Source organism: Homo sapiens, chromosome 11, assembly GCF_000001405.40.
Source record: "Homo sapiens chromosome 11, GRCh38.p14 Primary Assembly".
Classification (NCBI taxonomy): domain Eukaryota; kingdom Metazoa; phylum Chordata; class Mammalia; order Primates; family Hominidae; genus Homo; species Homo sapiens.
In genome coordinates, this window is record NC_000011.10 from 6,573,874 (window position 1) to 6,588,730 (window position 14,857).

Genomic DNA, 14,857 nt, shown 5'->3' on the forward strand with positions numbered 1-14,857 from the left:
TGGAGGTTGCAGCGAGCCGAGATTGTGCCACTGTACTCCAGCCTGGGTGACAGAGCAAGACCCTGTCTAAAAAAAAAAAAAAAAAAAAAATTGCATACCTTAGTTTAAAAATACTTTATTGCTAAAAATGCTAATAATCATCTGAGCCTTCAGCAAATAGTAATCTTTTTGCTAGTAATCTTTTTTGCCTTAATATTGATAGCTGCTGATCAGGGTGGTGACTGCTGAAGGTTGTGGCAATTTCTTAAAATAAAACAACAGTGAATACGAGTCCATATCAATGGACTCATATTTTCATGAAGAATTTGTCTGTGGCATGTGATGGTGTTTTACAGCATTTTACCTACAGAACTTATTTCAAAATTGGAGTTAATCCTCTCAAACCCTGCTGTTCCTTTATTAACTAAGTTTATGTAATATTCTAAATCATTTGTTGTCATTTCAACAATGTTCACAGCATCAGAAATATAGATTCCATCTCAAGAAACCACTTTCTTTGCTGATCCATAAGAGCAACTGCTCACCCATTAAAGTTTTATCATGAGATTACAGTAACTCAGTCATATCTTCAGGCTCCACTTCTTATTCTAATTCTCTTGCTGCTTCCACCACATCTGCAGTTACTTCCTCCAATGAAGTCTTGAACTCCTCAAAATCATCCATGAGAGTTGAATCAACTTCTTCCAAACTCCTGTTAATATTGATATTTTGACCTCCTATCATGAATCAAAAATGTTCTTAATGGCATCTAGAATGGTGAATCCTTTCCAGAAGGTTTTCAATTTACTTTGCCCAGATCCATTGGAGGAATCACTATCTATAGTGGTTCCTATAGCAGCAATAGTCTCACAAAATGTATTTCTTTTTTTAAATTTTCATTTCTTTACAAAATGAATTTCTTAATAACACTATAAGACTATAGCAGCAATAGCCTTACAAATGTATTTCTTAATAAGATCTGAAAGTCAAAATTACTCTCTGATCCATGAGCTGCACAATAGATGTTGTGATAGCCGGCATGAAAACAACATTCATCTCCTTGTACATGTCCATCAGAGCTCTTCGGTGTATTGCCAATGAGCAGCAAAATCTTTAAAAGAATCTTTTTGTTCTGAGCAGTAGGTCTTAACAGTAGGCTTAAGATAGTCAGTAAACCATGCTGTAAACCGATGTACCGTCATACAGGCTTTGTTGTTCCATTAAGACAGCACAGACATAGCAGATTTAGCATAATTCTTAAGGGCCCTAGGATTTTCGGAATGTTAAATGAGCATTGGCTTCAACTTAAAGTCACCAGCTACACTGGCCCCTAACAGGTGGTCAGCCTGTCCTTTGAAGCTTTGATGCCAGGCATTGTCTTCTCTTCTCTAGCTACAGTAAGTCCTAGATGCCATCTCCTTCCAACAGAAGGGTGTTTCATCTACATGGAAAATCTGTTGTTTGGTGTAGCCACCTTCATCAATTCACTGCAGCTTCCACATTAGCACTTGCTGTTTCACCTTGCAGTTTTATGTTATGGAAATGGCTTTCCTTAAACTTCATGAACCAATCTCTGCAAACTTCAGACTTTTATTCTGCAGCTTCCTTGCCTCTCTCAGCCTTCATAGAATTGAAGAGAATTAGGGCCTTGTCCTGGATTAGGCTTTGGCTTAAGGGAATGTTGTGGCTGGTTTGATCTGCTATCCAGATCACTAAAACTTCCTCCATATCAGCAGTAAGGCTGTGTTTTGCTTTATCAGTCACATGTTCACAGGAATTGCACTTTTAATTTCCTTCAAGAACTTTTTCCTTGCATTCACAACTTGGCTAACTGGCACAAGAAACCTAGTTTGTAGCTTACCGTGGCTTTTGACCTGCCTCCCTCACCGAGCTTAGTCATTTTTAGCTTTTGATTTAAAGTGAGAGACATGCAACTCTTCCTTTCACTTGAACACCTAGAAGCCACTGTTGGATTATTAATTGGACTAATTTCTATATTGTTTGTCTCAGGGAGCAGGGAGGCCCAACAAGAGGGAGAGAGATGGGGGAACAGGCGGTCAGTGAAGCAGTCAAAACACACACGACATTTATCGATTAAGTTTGCCATCTCATGTGAGTGCAGCCTGTGGTGCCCCCAAATGATTACAATACCAACATCAAAGATCACTGATCACACTGATATAATAATAATGCAAAGGTTTGAAATACTGTAAGAATTATCAAAATGTGGCACAGAGACAAAAAGTAAGCACATGCTATTGGGAAAATAGTGCTGATAGACTAGCTCAAAACGGGGTTGCCACAAATCTTCAATTTTTATAAAACACACTATGATGTGCAATAAAGCACAGCAAAAAATAAAATGAGGTGTGCCTGTACTGAGCATCACTCTTCACAACCTCTTCAAAATGGTAACTCACCAGTGAGTGTGGTGCAACTGATGTTCTTTAACAAAAGGCTGAGCAGAGAGGCAAAAACTCCCACTTTCCTCAGAGCCCTTTTCTACAGTCAACTAGGGTGCATGGCTGTGCCTTCAGGAAAGGAGATAAGTAGAGTATTAAAAGAAGTCCTTTTGGAAAAATGAACCATCTGTCTATGTTTACCATTACCACTATTTGTCCTCCAGTGGGAGCAGGGAACAATAGTGAGATATCTGTAAAACCATCTGAAATTGGTTAGAATATTTTCTACATATCCATGCCATTTTCTAGACTGAAGTCATTCTTGAATTATGCCCAGCCAAGTTGTTAAACTTTGTCTAGTAGAGATTATTAAATGAGTTCCATATGACAGCATAGCCCAAATACAATGACTGCTATGTAAAAATGTTCCAGATTTGATAATTGCACTATTAAGTTCTACTAGAGCAATTAAAATCCCATTAGGAAGTTAAAATCCCAAACAATGAAAGGAAGGAAGAAGTAAGAGGCTTGACAAAGGGGAGAAATATGTCTCTTCCCATTCTGATGAACGGGGGTAAATGGAGTAGAGACAAGAAAGGGAAGAATATGATGTAATCAACCTGACCTGGGGCTGCGAAGCCTCAGAGAAGGAAGCAGCAGCGCCAAGGGCAAAGAGGCTTTTGCCTTTTCCCTACTGGAACTGTGGAAGGAAGCTGTTCTGTAGCACGGATGGACTAACTGTGGTCCCAACAGCATTAAGAGAGCAGAGCAGCATGGTCAGGAAGAGGTGTCTCTTAATCCCTATATGGCGTAGATACTGACTAGAGAGGCTTTAGGCCCACAGGAGTATGCGGCAGAGAATCACTGGGGTTTCCAGCACCAAAGAGAGTTGTTGAGAGAGGGCCAAACTGGGGGGAGTGGGGAGGAACAGGGGGCACAAGACCACAAATTCATCAGCTTTAGAGGCAAATGTTGGCAGAATGCCCAGGTATGAAACTGAGCCAACTACCCAGAGGATTCCAACTTGTGCACAACCAAAGCCAGTGTTAGGCTTGAGGATCCCTTCAGTCTAACATCAAAAGGTCACATAAGCCCTCCTCTCTATACCCAGATGCCACTTTAGAGAGGAGCAGCATTAGAATGGGAGGAATTTAAAATTCTGAGCATTTATTTCAAAGAGAATAAATGAAACCTAATGAAATGAAACCAAATTTATTTCCAGCCTCTTCCACTACCCAGTGAAGAGGAAGGAGTAAGATTTGTGAGGAAAATCAGATCAGTAATTGAGAAAAAAGCTACATTTTATTTATGTATCCAACTTTGTAAGAAAAATTGTGATCCTGCTCTGTATACTACATAGACTAATAATCCAAAAACGAAAAAAATCTGACTAGCACTCTGCAGCTCACCTAAAAACTCATTTAGTTTTGCAGCTTTACAGTCTAATTTGAAATTTATATTCAGAACAGGATAAATGGGGGAAATGTCTGAAATATTAAAAAATGACAGTTTCATACACTAATGCTTATGAAGCCCTAGTATCTGTAAAATAGGTACTATTATTATTCCATTTTATAGATGAGGAAACTGAGACACACATTCAGTAAACTGCCCAAGGTCACACGGCCAGAAAATGGTAGAACCTGTTTTGGAACCCAGGCATTTGTCTCCAGAATCCATGATCTCTACAGCATTCTGTTGCCTCTGTCATACCAAGATTTAGTGAGATAGCGGAAAACAAGAATCCTCAAGCATTGTTGGCAGATGCGGAAACTGGTGTAGTTACTCTGGGGAGCAATCTGACAGCACTTAGTAAAATTAAGTATACTCTGTTCTACCAATTCCACTTTCAGGTTTATGTCTCAGATGGTCACACACAAAATGAGCTGAGACTTTGAGAGGCTGAGGTGGGAGGATAGCTTGAGCCCAGGAGTTCAAGACCAGCCTGGACACCATAGACAGAATCTCTCTCTGTAAAAAATTTGAAAAATTAGCTCGGTGTGGTAGTGTACACCTGTGGTCTCAGCTACACAGGAGGCTGAGGTGGGATAATTGCTTGAGCCCAGGGGGTGGAGGCTGCAGTAAACTGTGATTACACTACTTCACCACTGCACTCCAAACTTGGTGACAAGGTAAGACTATGTCCCCAAAAAAAAAAAAAAAAAAAAAAAAGGAAAGAGAGAGAAAGAGAAAGTGAAGGAAGGAAGGAAGGAAGGGAGGGAGGGAGGGAGGGAGGGAGGAAGAGATTTGGGAAGTGTTCTCTCCTACTGTACTTTCTAAGAGTTTATGTAGGAGTGATATTTCTTAAAAGGTTGATAGAATTTGACAGTAAAGCCATCTGGGCCTGGAGTTTTTTTGTTTTGATGTGTGTGTGTGTGTGTGTGTGTGTGTGTGTGTGTGTGTGTGTGTGAGAGAGAGAGAGAGGTTTTTAATGACAAATTCTATTTCTTTAGTAGATACAAGGCTATCAGATTTTCCACTTCTTTCTGAGTCCATTGTGGTATTTTCAAAAATTTTATCTTAGATAGAACGTAAGTTTTTGAAGTTACTGGTATAAGTTGTTCATAATAGTCCCTTATTATCCTTTTAATGTCTGTAGGATCTATAGGGATGTCCCTGCTTTCATTCATATTTTCAGTCTTCGTATTTTTGATCAGTCTAAATAAAAGATTTGTCAATTCTATTGATCCTTTCAGAGAATTAGCTTTGTGTTTCATTGATTTTCTCTATTGGTTCTCCAGTTTCTATTTTATCACTTTCAACTTTTATCTTTTTAAATTTCCTTTCTTTTACTTATTTTTGTTTTAATTTTCTCTTTTTCTAGCTTCTTAATGTGGAAACTTAGATTATTTATTTTAGGGTTTTTTCGAGTTTTGTTTTTTTTTTTAATACAGAGTCAGAGTCTCTCTCTGTCACCTAAGCTGGAGTGCAGTGGCACGATCTGGGCTCACTGCAACCTCCACCTCCCGGGTTCAAGCGATTCTCCTGCCTCAACCTCCCGAGTAGCTGGAATTACAGGTGCGTGCCACCACGCCCAGCTAATTTTTGTATTTTTAGCAGAGATGGGGTTTCACCATGTTGGCTAGGCTGGCCTCAAACTCCTGACCTCAGGTGATCCACCCACCTTGGCCTCCCAAAGTGCTGGGATTACAGGCATGAGCCACCGTGCCTGGCCGATTTTAGGTGTTTCTTATTTCCCATATAAGCATTGAAAGCTATACATCACTCTCTAACATTTATTTAGCTGCATCTCACAACTTTTGCTTTGTTGTATTTTCATTATTTCTATTTATTTTTCTGTGGCCAGGTGGCACACAGAGAGAATCTGTGCACTTGCTGGAAGGAGAGCAGAGTGATTGTGGGACTTTGCATTGGAACTCAGTGCTGCCTATCTGGGTGGAAAACAGCAAAAACAGAATCCAGCCAGTGCCCACGAAGGGAGAATTTAGACCAGCCCCAGCCAGAGGGGAAATGTCCATTCCGGTGGCTGGAACCTGAGTTCTGGCAAGCCCCATGACCATAGGCTAAAGTGCCCTGGTGTCCTAAATAAACTTGAAAGGCAGTCTAGGCCACAGGGACTGCAATTTCTGGGCAAGTACTGGTGCTGTGCTGGGCTTGGAGCCAGTGGACTTGGGGTGTACATGACCTAGTGAGACACCAGCTGAGGCAACCAAAGGACTGCTTGCATTACCTGTCCCCCAACCACAGGCAGTGCAGTTTGCAGCTCTGGGAGAGACTCTTTCCTTCCACTTAAGGAGAGGAGAGGGGAAAGTAAAGAGAACTCTGTTTTGCAACTTGAACACTAGCTCAGCCACAGTAGAACAGAGCACGAGCAGGAGTCCTGAGACCCCCATTTCAGGTCCTATCTTCTACAAGATAGACACACCCTGGGCCAGAAGGGAACCCACGTCCTTCATGGGAAGGACTCAGTCCTGGAAGGATTCATCACCTGCTGACTAAAGAGCTCTTGGGCCTTGAATAAACCTCAGTGGTTGTCAGGCAGTACTTACCCAGGGGCCTGCAGTGAGACCCAGTGCTGTGAGGGCTTCAGGGGTGACCCAACACATTCCTAGCTGTGGTGGCCATGGGGAGATACTCCTACTGCTTGAAGAAAGGAGAGGGAAGAATAATGGGGACTTTGTCTTGCGACTTGGGTACAGCTTGGCCAAGGTGAGGTAGAGTACTAAGTGGGCTCCCTGGGGTTCCTGATTCCAGGCCTTGGTTCCTGGGTGCATTTCTTGACCTGCCCTGGACCAGAGGGGAGTCTATTGCCCTGCAGGGAGACATCCAGGCTTAGCAGCATTCACCACAAGCTGACTGAAGAGCCATTGGACCTTGAATGAACAACGGTGTTAGCCACGCAATACTTGCTGCAGGCTTGAAGTAGTGGTGGCCATAGGGAGAGGGTCCTTCTGCTTCAGGAAAGGAAAGGAAAGAGTGGGAAGGACTTGTCTTACGGCTTGTGTGCCAGCTCAGCCACAGTAGAATAGGCCACCAAGTATATTACTAAGGTTCCTGACTTCAGGCCCCAGCTATTGGATGGTATTTCTGGACTGAGGGGTAGCTTGCTACCCTGAAGGGAAGGCAACAAGCCTGGCTAGATGCACCACCTGCTGACTGTAGAGACCTTGGGCCTTGAGGGAACATCAGCGGTAACCAGGCAGTAGTCACTACAGGCCTTGGGCAAGACCCAGTGCTGTGCTGGCTTCAGGTGTAACCCAGCATAATCACAGTGATGGTGGCTATAGGGGTGCTTGTGTCACCTCTTCTCCAGCTCCAAGCAGCTCAGCACAGACAGACAGACTTTGTTTGTTTGGGGGAAATTAAGAGAAGAGAACAAGAGTCTCTGCCTCATAATCAAGGGAATGCTCATGAATCTTACCCAACACCATCAAAGTGCTACCTCTATGAATCTACAAGAGCCACAGCAATTACTGGGCTGGGGGTTCTCACTAATGCAGATATGGCTGCAGTGACCAAAGACTTAGATCACAACACTAAATTCTCTTTGAATATTTGGATTGCATTCCAAAGAAGGATGGTTATAAATAAACCCAGACTGCAAAGAGTACAAATACCTAATTCTTCAATGCCCAGACACTGATGGACATCCATAAGCATCAAGACCATCCAGGAAAACATGGCATCACTGAACAAAGTAAATAAGGCACTAGTGACAAATCCTGGAGTAACAGAGATGTGTGACCTTTTGGACAGAGAATTCAAAACAGCTTGTTTTGAGAAAGCTAAAAAAAAAAATTCAAGATAACACAAAGAAGGAATTCAGAACCCTATCAGATAAATTTAACAAAGAGAGTAAAATAATTTAAAAGGATCAAGCAGAAATCCTGGAGCTGAAAAATTCTATTGACATACTGAAGAATGCAATGGAGTCTTTCAACAGCAGAATGGATCAAGCAGTAGAAAGAATTAGTGAGCTTGAAGATAGGCTATTTGAAAATACACAGAGGAAACAAAAGAAAAAAAATTTAAAAGCCAGGCACAGTGGTTCACGCCTGTAATTCCAGGACTTTGGGAGGCTGAAGTGGGTGAATCACTGAGGTCAGGAGTTCAAGACCAGCCTGGCCCACATGGTGAAACCCCGTCTCTACTAAAGATACAAAATTAGCTGGGCATGGTGGCATGCACCTGTAATCTCAGCTACTTGGGAGGTTGACACAGGAGAATCGCTTGAGCCTGGGAGGCAGTGGTTGCAGTGAACCGAGATCGTGCCATTGCACTCCAGCCTGGGCAACAAGAGTGAAATTCCGTCTCAAAAAAAAAAAAAAAAAGAAAAAAAATACCACCCGGGAAAATCACCTTCACAAAAAGGAAGATGGATGGACAGATGGAAGAAAGGATCACAAAACAACCAGAAAACAAATAACAAAATGACAGGAGTAAGTCCTTACTTATCAATAATAACATTGAATGTAAATGCACTAAAATCTCCAATCAAAAGATATAGAATGGCTGAACAGATGAAAAAACAAGACCCAATAATCTTTTTCCTGTAAGAAACACCCTTCACCTATAAAGACACACATAGACTAAAAATAAACAAATACAAAATGATATTCAATGCAAATTGAAACCAAAAAAGAGCAGGAGTAGCTATATTTGCATCAGACAAAACAGATTTCAAGACAAAGAAGGTCATTACATAATGATAAAGGGGTAAATTCAGCAAGAGGATATAATAATTGTAAACATATATGCACCCAACACTGGAGCACCCAGATATATAAAGCAAATATCTTTAGAACTAAAGAGAGAGATAGGCCCCAATACAATAACAGCTGAAGACTTAATTACCCCACTTTCAGCATTAGACAGGTCATCCAGACAGAAAATCAACAAAGAAATGTCAGATTTAATCTGCACTATAGAGTAAATGGATCTTACAGATATTTACAGAACATTTCATCCAATGGCTGAAGGATACATATTATATTCTTCCCCTCAACACGTGTTATTTTCAATGATAAACCATATATTAGGCCATAAAACAAGCCTTAAACATTTCAAAAATATGTGAAAAATATCAAGTATCTTCCTTGACCACAATGGAATAAAATCAATAATAGGAGGAACTTTGGAAACTATATGAACACATGGAAATTAAATAATATGCTTAATGGCCAGTGGATCAACAAATAAGAAAAAAAATTTAAAAATATTTGAAACAAATGAAAATGGAAATACGACAGACCAAAATCTACGGGATATAACAAAAGCAGTACTGAGGAAAGTTTATAGCAATAAGCACCTAATCAAAAAAGTAGAAAAACTTCAAATGAACAACCTAATGATGCATCTTCAAGAACTAGAAAAGCAAAAGCAAACCAAACGGAAAATTAAAAGAAGACATAACAAATATCAAGCAGAAATAAGTGAGATTCAATTTTTAAAAATACAAAGGATCAATAAAATGAACAGGTTTTTTGAAAAGATAAAGTCAACAAACCTTTAGCCAGACTAAGAATAAAAGAGAGAAGACCCAAACAAAATCAGATGAAAAAGGAGTCATTACAACTGATACCACAGAAATTCAAAGGATCATCAGAGACTATGAGCAACTAAATGCCAATAAACTGGAAAAGCTGGAAGACATAAATTCCTAGACATATGCAACTTACTAAGATTAAACCATGAAGAAATCCAAAACCTAAATAGACCAATAACAAGTAATGAGATCAAAGCCATAATAAAAAAGTCTTCCAGCTAAGAAAAGCACAGGACCCAACAGCTGCACTGACTAATTTTATGATACATTTAAAGAACTAATATGAACCCTACTCAGACTATTCAAAAAAAAAAAATAGAGGAGGGAGTACTTTGAAACTCATTCTGTGAGCCAGCGTTACCCTGATAGCAAAACCAGACAAAGACACATCAAAAAAAGGAAACTATATCACTGATGAACATTTATGCAAAAATCCTCAATAAAATACTAGGAAACCTAATTCAACACCCCATTAAAAAGATCATTCATCATGGCCAAGAGGGATTTATCCCAGGAATGCAAGGATGGTTCAACATATGCAAATCAATCAATGTGATGTATCATATCAACAGAATGAAGACCAAAAACCATATGATCATTTTAATTGATGCTTTTAAAACATTTGATAACACTCAACATCCTTTTATGATTTAAAAAAGCCCTCCAAAAACTGGGTATAGAAGGAACATACCTCAACATAATAAAAGCCATATATTACAGGCCCACAGCTAATATACTGAATGGGGAAAAACTGAAAACTTTTCCTCTAAGATCTGGAACTAGACAGGGATGCCCATTTTCACTACTGTCATTCAACATAGTAATAGAAGTCCTACCTAGAGTAATCAGACAGGAGAAAAAAAAATAAATGGCATCCAAGTTGGAAAGGAAGAAGCCAAATTATCCATATTTGCAGATTATATTATCTTTTATTTGGAAAAACCTAAAGGCTCCACCAAAAGCTATTAGAACTGATAAACAAATTCAGTAAAATTGCAGAATGTAAAATCAACATACAAAAATCAGTAGCATTTCTATATGCCAACAACAAACAATCTGATAAAGAAATCAAGAAAGTAATCCCATTTACAATAGCAACAAATAAAATAAGATACCTAGGAATAAACTTAACCAAACAAGTGAGAGACCTCTATAATGAAAACTATAAAACATTGATGCAAGAAACTGAAGAGGACACAGACAAAAAATTGATAGATATTCCATGTTCATGGATTGGAAGAACTGATATTGTTAAAATGTCCGTACTATCCAAAGCAATCTACAGATTCACTGCAATCCCTATCGAAATACCAGTGACATTCTTCACAGAAATCGAAAAAATAATCTTAAAATTCATATAGAAGCACAAAAGACCCAGAAGAGACAAAGCCATCCTGAGCAAAAGAACAAAACTGAAGGAATCATATTACCTGTCTTCAGATTATACTACAGAGCTATAATAACCAAAACAGCATGGTACTGCCAAAAAAACAGACACATAGACCAATGGAACAGCATACAGAACCCAGAAATAAATCCATACATCTACAGTAAACTCATTTTTGACAAAAGTGCCAAGAACATACGTTGGGGAAAGGACGGTCTCTTCAATAAATGGTGCTGGGAAAATAGGATATACATATGCAAAAGAATCAAACTAGGCTCCTCTCTCTTGCCATATATAAAAATCAAATCAAAATAGATTAAAGACTTAGATCTGAGACCTCAAACTATGAAACTAATGAAAGAAAACCTTGGGGAAACCCTCCAAGACATTGATCTTGGCAAAGATTTCTTGAGTAATACCCCAAAAGCACAAGCAATCAAAGCAAAAATGGACAAATGGGATCACATCAAGTTAAAAAGCTTCTGCACAGTAAAAGAAACAATCAACAAAGTGAAAAGACAAACCACGGAATGGGAAAAAATATTTGCAAACTATCCATCTGACAAAGGATTAATAATCAGAATACATAAGGAGCTCAAACAACTAACTCTATAAGAAAAAAAATTGGCCAGGTGCAGTGGCTCACACCTGTAATCCTAGCACTTTGGGAGGCTGAGGCAGGTGGACTGCTCGAGGTCAGGAGTTCGAGACCAACCTGGCCAACATGGTGAAACCCCATCTCTACTAAAAATACAAAAACTAGCTGGGCGTGGTGGCAGGTGCCTGTAATCCTAGCTACTTGGGAGTCTGAGGTAGGAGAATCGCTTGAACCTGAGAGGTGGGGGTTGCAGTGAGCCAAGATTGTGCCACTGCACTCCAGCCTGGGTGACAAGAGGAAGATTCTGTACCCCCCAACCCCCTCCAAAAAAAAGAAAAATCTAGGCTAGGCATGGTGGCTTACACCTGTAATCCCAGCACTTTGGGAGGCTGAGGCAGGCAGATCACCTGAGGTCAGGAGTTTGAGACCTAGCCTGGCCAACATGGTGAAACCTCATCTCTACTAAAAAAAATACAAAAATTATCCAGGCATGGTGGTGCACACCTGTAATCCCAGCTACTAGGCAGGCTGAGGCATGAGAATCGCTTGAACCTAAGAAGTGGAGGCTGCAGTGGGCTGAGATCGCGCTACTGCACTCAGGCCTGGATGATAGAGATTCCATCTCAAAAAGAAAATTTTTAAAAGAAGAAAAAATCTAATAATCTGATTTTAAAAACAGGCAAAAAATCTTAATAGACATTTCTCAAAAGAAGAGATACAAATGGCAAACAGGTAAATGAAAAGGTGTTCAGCATCATTAATCATCAGATAAATGCAAATCAAAACTACAATGAGATATCATCTCACCTCAGTTAAAATGGCTTTTATCCAAAAGACAGGCAGTAATGAATGCTGGTGACGATGGGGAGAAAATAAACTTTTGTACAGTGTTGGGGGGAATGTTAATTAATACAAGCATTGTGGAGAACAGTATGGAGGTTCCACAAAAAACTGAATAAAGAACTACCATATGATCCAGAAATCTCACTGCTAGGTATATACTCCTCTCCCCAAAAAAGACAAATCAGTATATAGAAAAGGTATCTACACTCCCCTGTTTATTGCAGCACTATTTACAATAGCCAAGATACAGAAGCAACCTAAGTGTCCATCAACAGACGAATAGATAAAGAAAATGTGGCACATATACAGATTGAAATACTATATTCAGCTATAGGAAAGAATGAGATCCTGTCACTTGCAACAACATGGATGGAACTGGAGGACAGATATTAAGTGATATAAGCCAGGCACAGAAAGACAAACTTTGCACGTGATGGCAGCGGCAGGCCGTCTGGAGCGGCCGCTGCCATCCCTCTGGCTGCACAGGGAGGCACAGCCAGGGCTGCATGCTCCATGGAGCCGGCGGAAGCTCCCCTGGTGCTGTTGCACAGCTGTGGACCCAGGCATCCCTGTGCTCTCGGGACCAGGAGCAGGCGGGAGCCCCGCCCTCCTGGGCACAGCTGCAGCCACTCAAACCAAGGCTATAGATCTGGGCCTCCCGCTACAAAGAGCAGGCGGGAGCCCTGGTCTCCATGCGTGGCTTCTCCCTGCTGTCGGCACTTCTCCGATCTCACAGCACAGTCGGGGCCGAGCCCAGGCATTGTTATGTCATGGCCCGGCCGGGTGTGCACATGCTCAGGGCAGGGCTGCCACGCCAGCCTCCTGCTGCCTCGGCTCCCTCTGGGCTTTGGGCACCAATGAGCATAGGAGGGAAGCTGAGGGAGGGGCTGAGAGGAGGCAGACAGGTTCCTGGCATAAGGGGGTAGGTCTTGGGTGAGGCCCCACCTTCAGGCCAGGGAGGGCCTGAAGGCTGGGGTCTGGGTTTCCAGTACCACTGACAGGAGTGGGAACTCGTGGCACTTTTCCCAGCCAGCCATGGCCGCCATGGACCAATTGGGGGGCACCTCTCTGCTGAGAGCTGAACATTTGTTGGGATGAGTGGCCTAGTGGAGAGGAGCTACCCTCTCTGCTAGGAGCTGAATACTTGTTGGGATACCCTGGCTACAGAAAGGAGCTGCCCCCTGCGGGGTTCTTCTGAGCTGTTCTATTGCTCAATAAACCTCCCCTTTGTCTTGCTCGCTCTCCACTTGTCTGCATACCTCATTCTTCCTGGTCGCAGGACAAAAACTCGGGACCCACCAAAGGGCGAGGCTAAAAGAGCTGTAACACAAACAGTGCTGAGACATGCCCCTTGCCCACCACATTGGGGGCAAAGAGAAGGAAAGAAGAGCTGCAGCCCTTCAAAGAGCCCAGATCTGGGAGCTCCCCAAGCCAGGGCTGTGACCCCCTCTCTGGGACCCTGCAATTCCTGGTGTCTCCAAGTTTATGGGCACCAATGTGTTCCCTGGTGCCAGCCGTGGAAGCTGCTTGCCATGCACCTGGTCTGGCTGCAGACTCGCAGAGAGCTGGCACCTGTGCTGGCAACTGGAGCTGCTCGCCTTGCTGCAGCAGCCAGCATGCCCAACTGTGTGCAGTAGCCAGACCCTGTGTTTGCTCACACTCTCCTTGCCATTCCATGCCTGACTTGCTCTTGGCAGGCATGGGACCCAGGCCAGTAGAGTGAGCCAAGCACAGCCTGCCAGGCTGAGTGGGTGAAATGAGCCCAGCGGGCCCGAGCAAAACTTGGGCAAAGAAGCTACCGGCCACAAAGGTTTCTGGACAGAAAAACAACACCCCAAAGACCCCGTAACATATGGTCTCGCTCATTTGCGGGAGCTAAAAATTAAAACAATTGAACTCATGGAGATAAAGAGTAGAAAAATGGGAAAGATAGTGGTGGTCAGTGTGGGAGGTGGGCAGACAAATGAGGATAATGGGTACAAAAATATATTCATAGTTAGAATGATAAGATCTAGTATTTGATAGCACAACAGGGTGATTACAGTCAACAAAAATTTATTGTACATTTTAAAATAACTAAAGGAGTATGATTGGAATGTTTGTAATACAAAGAAAAAAGGATAAATGCTTGGTGTGATGGATACTCCATCTACCCTGATGTGATTACTATGCATTGTATGTCTGTAATAAAATATCTCATGTACCCCATAAATATATTCACGTACTACATACTCATAAAAATTAAAAAGAAAGTAGACATTGGAAGAAGTAAGGAATAACATAAGGAATAGGAAATGGGTGCATCCAGGTTATGAAGCACTGCATTGGGAAATAGTTTGTTTCATTTGTTCTTTTGCTTTTATTAGACATTCTCAGCAACCGAAAGTGCTATAGATCAATTGGGGTTACTTCATTGAAAAGTTTTCCCATGACAATCTCAGACACTGCTGATGAGAATTTAAATCTGTTCAATAAGTCTGGAAGGCAATTTAGCAACACATATAAAAAAAACTTTTAAATTGTACATTGCCCTTGACCTAGTAAATCCCCCTATAAGATTATTTTCCCTAAAGAATTGATTTTTAAAAAGTCGTTAAACATGTATATATAGAGGATGTTGATTGCAGAGAACATGAACATTT

General features: G+C 41.4%; 2 annotated features.

Moving 5' to 3' along the window:
* Window positions 12,319–13,307: an enhancer, noted in NCBI's record as "H3K4me1 hESC enhancer chr11:6607422-6608410 (GRCh37/hg19 assembly coordinates)". NCBI's record gives its function as "activates a minimal SCP1, AML or CMV promoter by ChIP-STARR-seq in primed H9 embryonic stem cells {active_cell/tissue: H9 hESC(primed)}" and the evidence as "EXISTENCE:reporter gene assay evidence [ECO:0000049][PMID:30033119]".
* Window positions 13,308–14,296: an enhancer, noted in NCBI's record as "H3K4me1 hESC enhancer chr11:6608411-6609399 (GRCh37/hg19 assembly coordinates)". NCBI's record gives its function as "activates a minimal SCP1, AML or CMV promoter by ChIP-STARR-seq in naive H9 embryonic stem cells {active_cell/tissue: H9 hESC(naive)}" and the evidence as "EXISTENCE:reporter gene assay evidence [ECO:0000049][PMID:30033119]".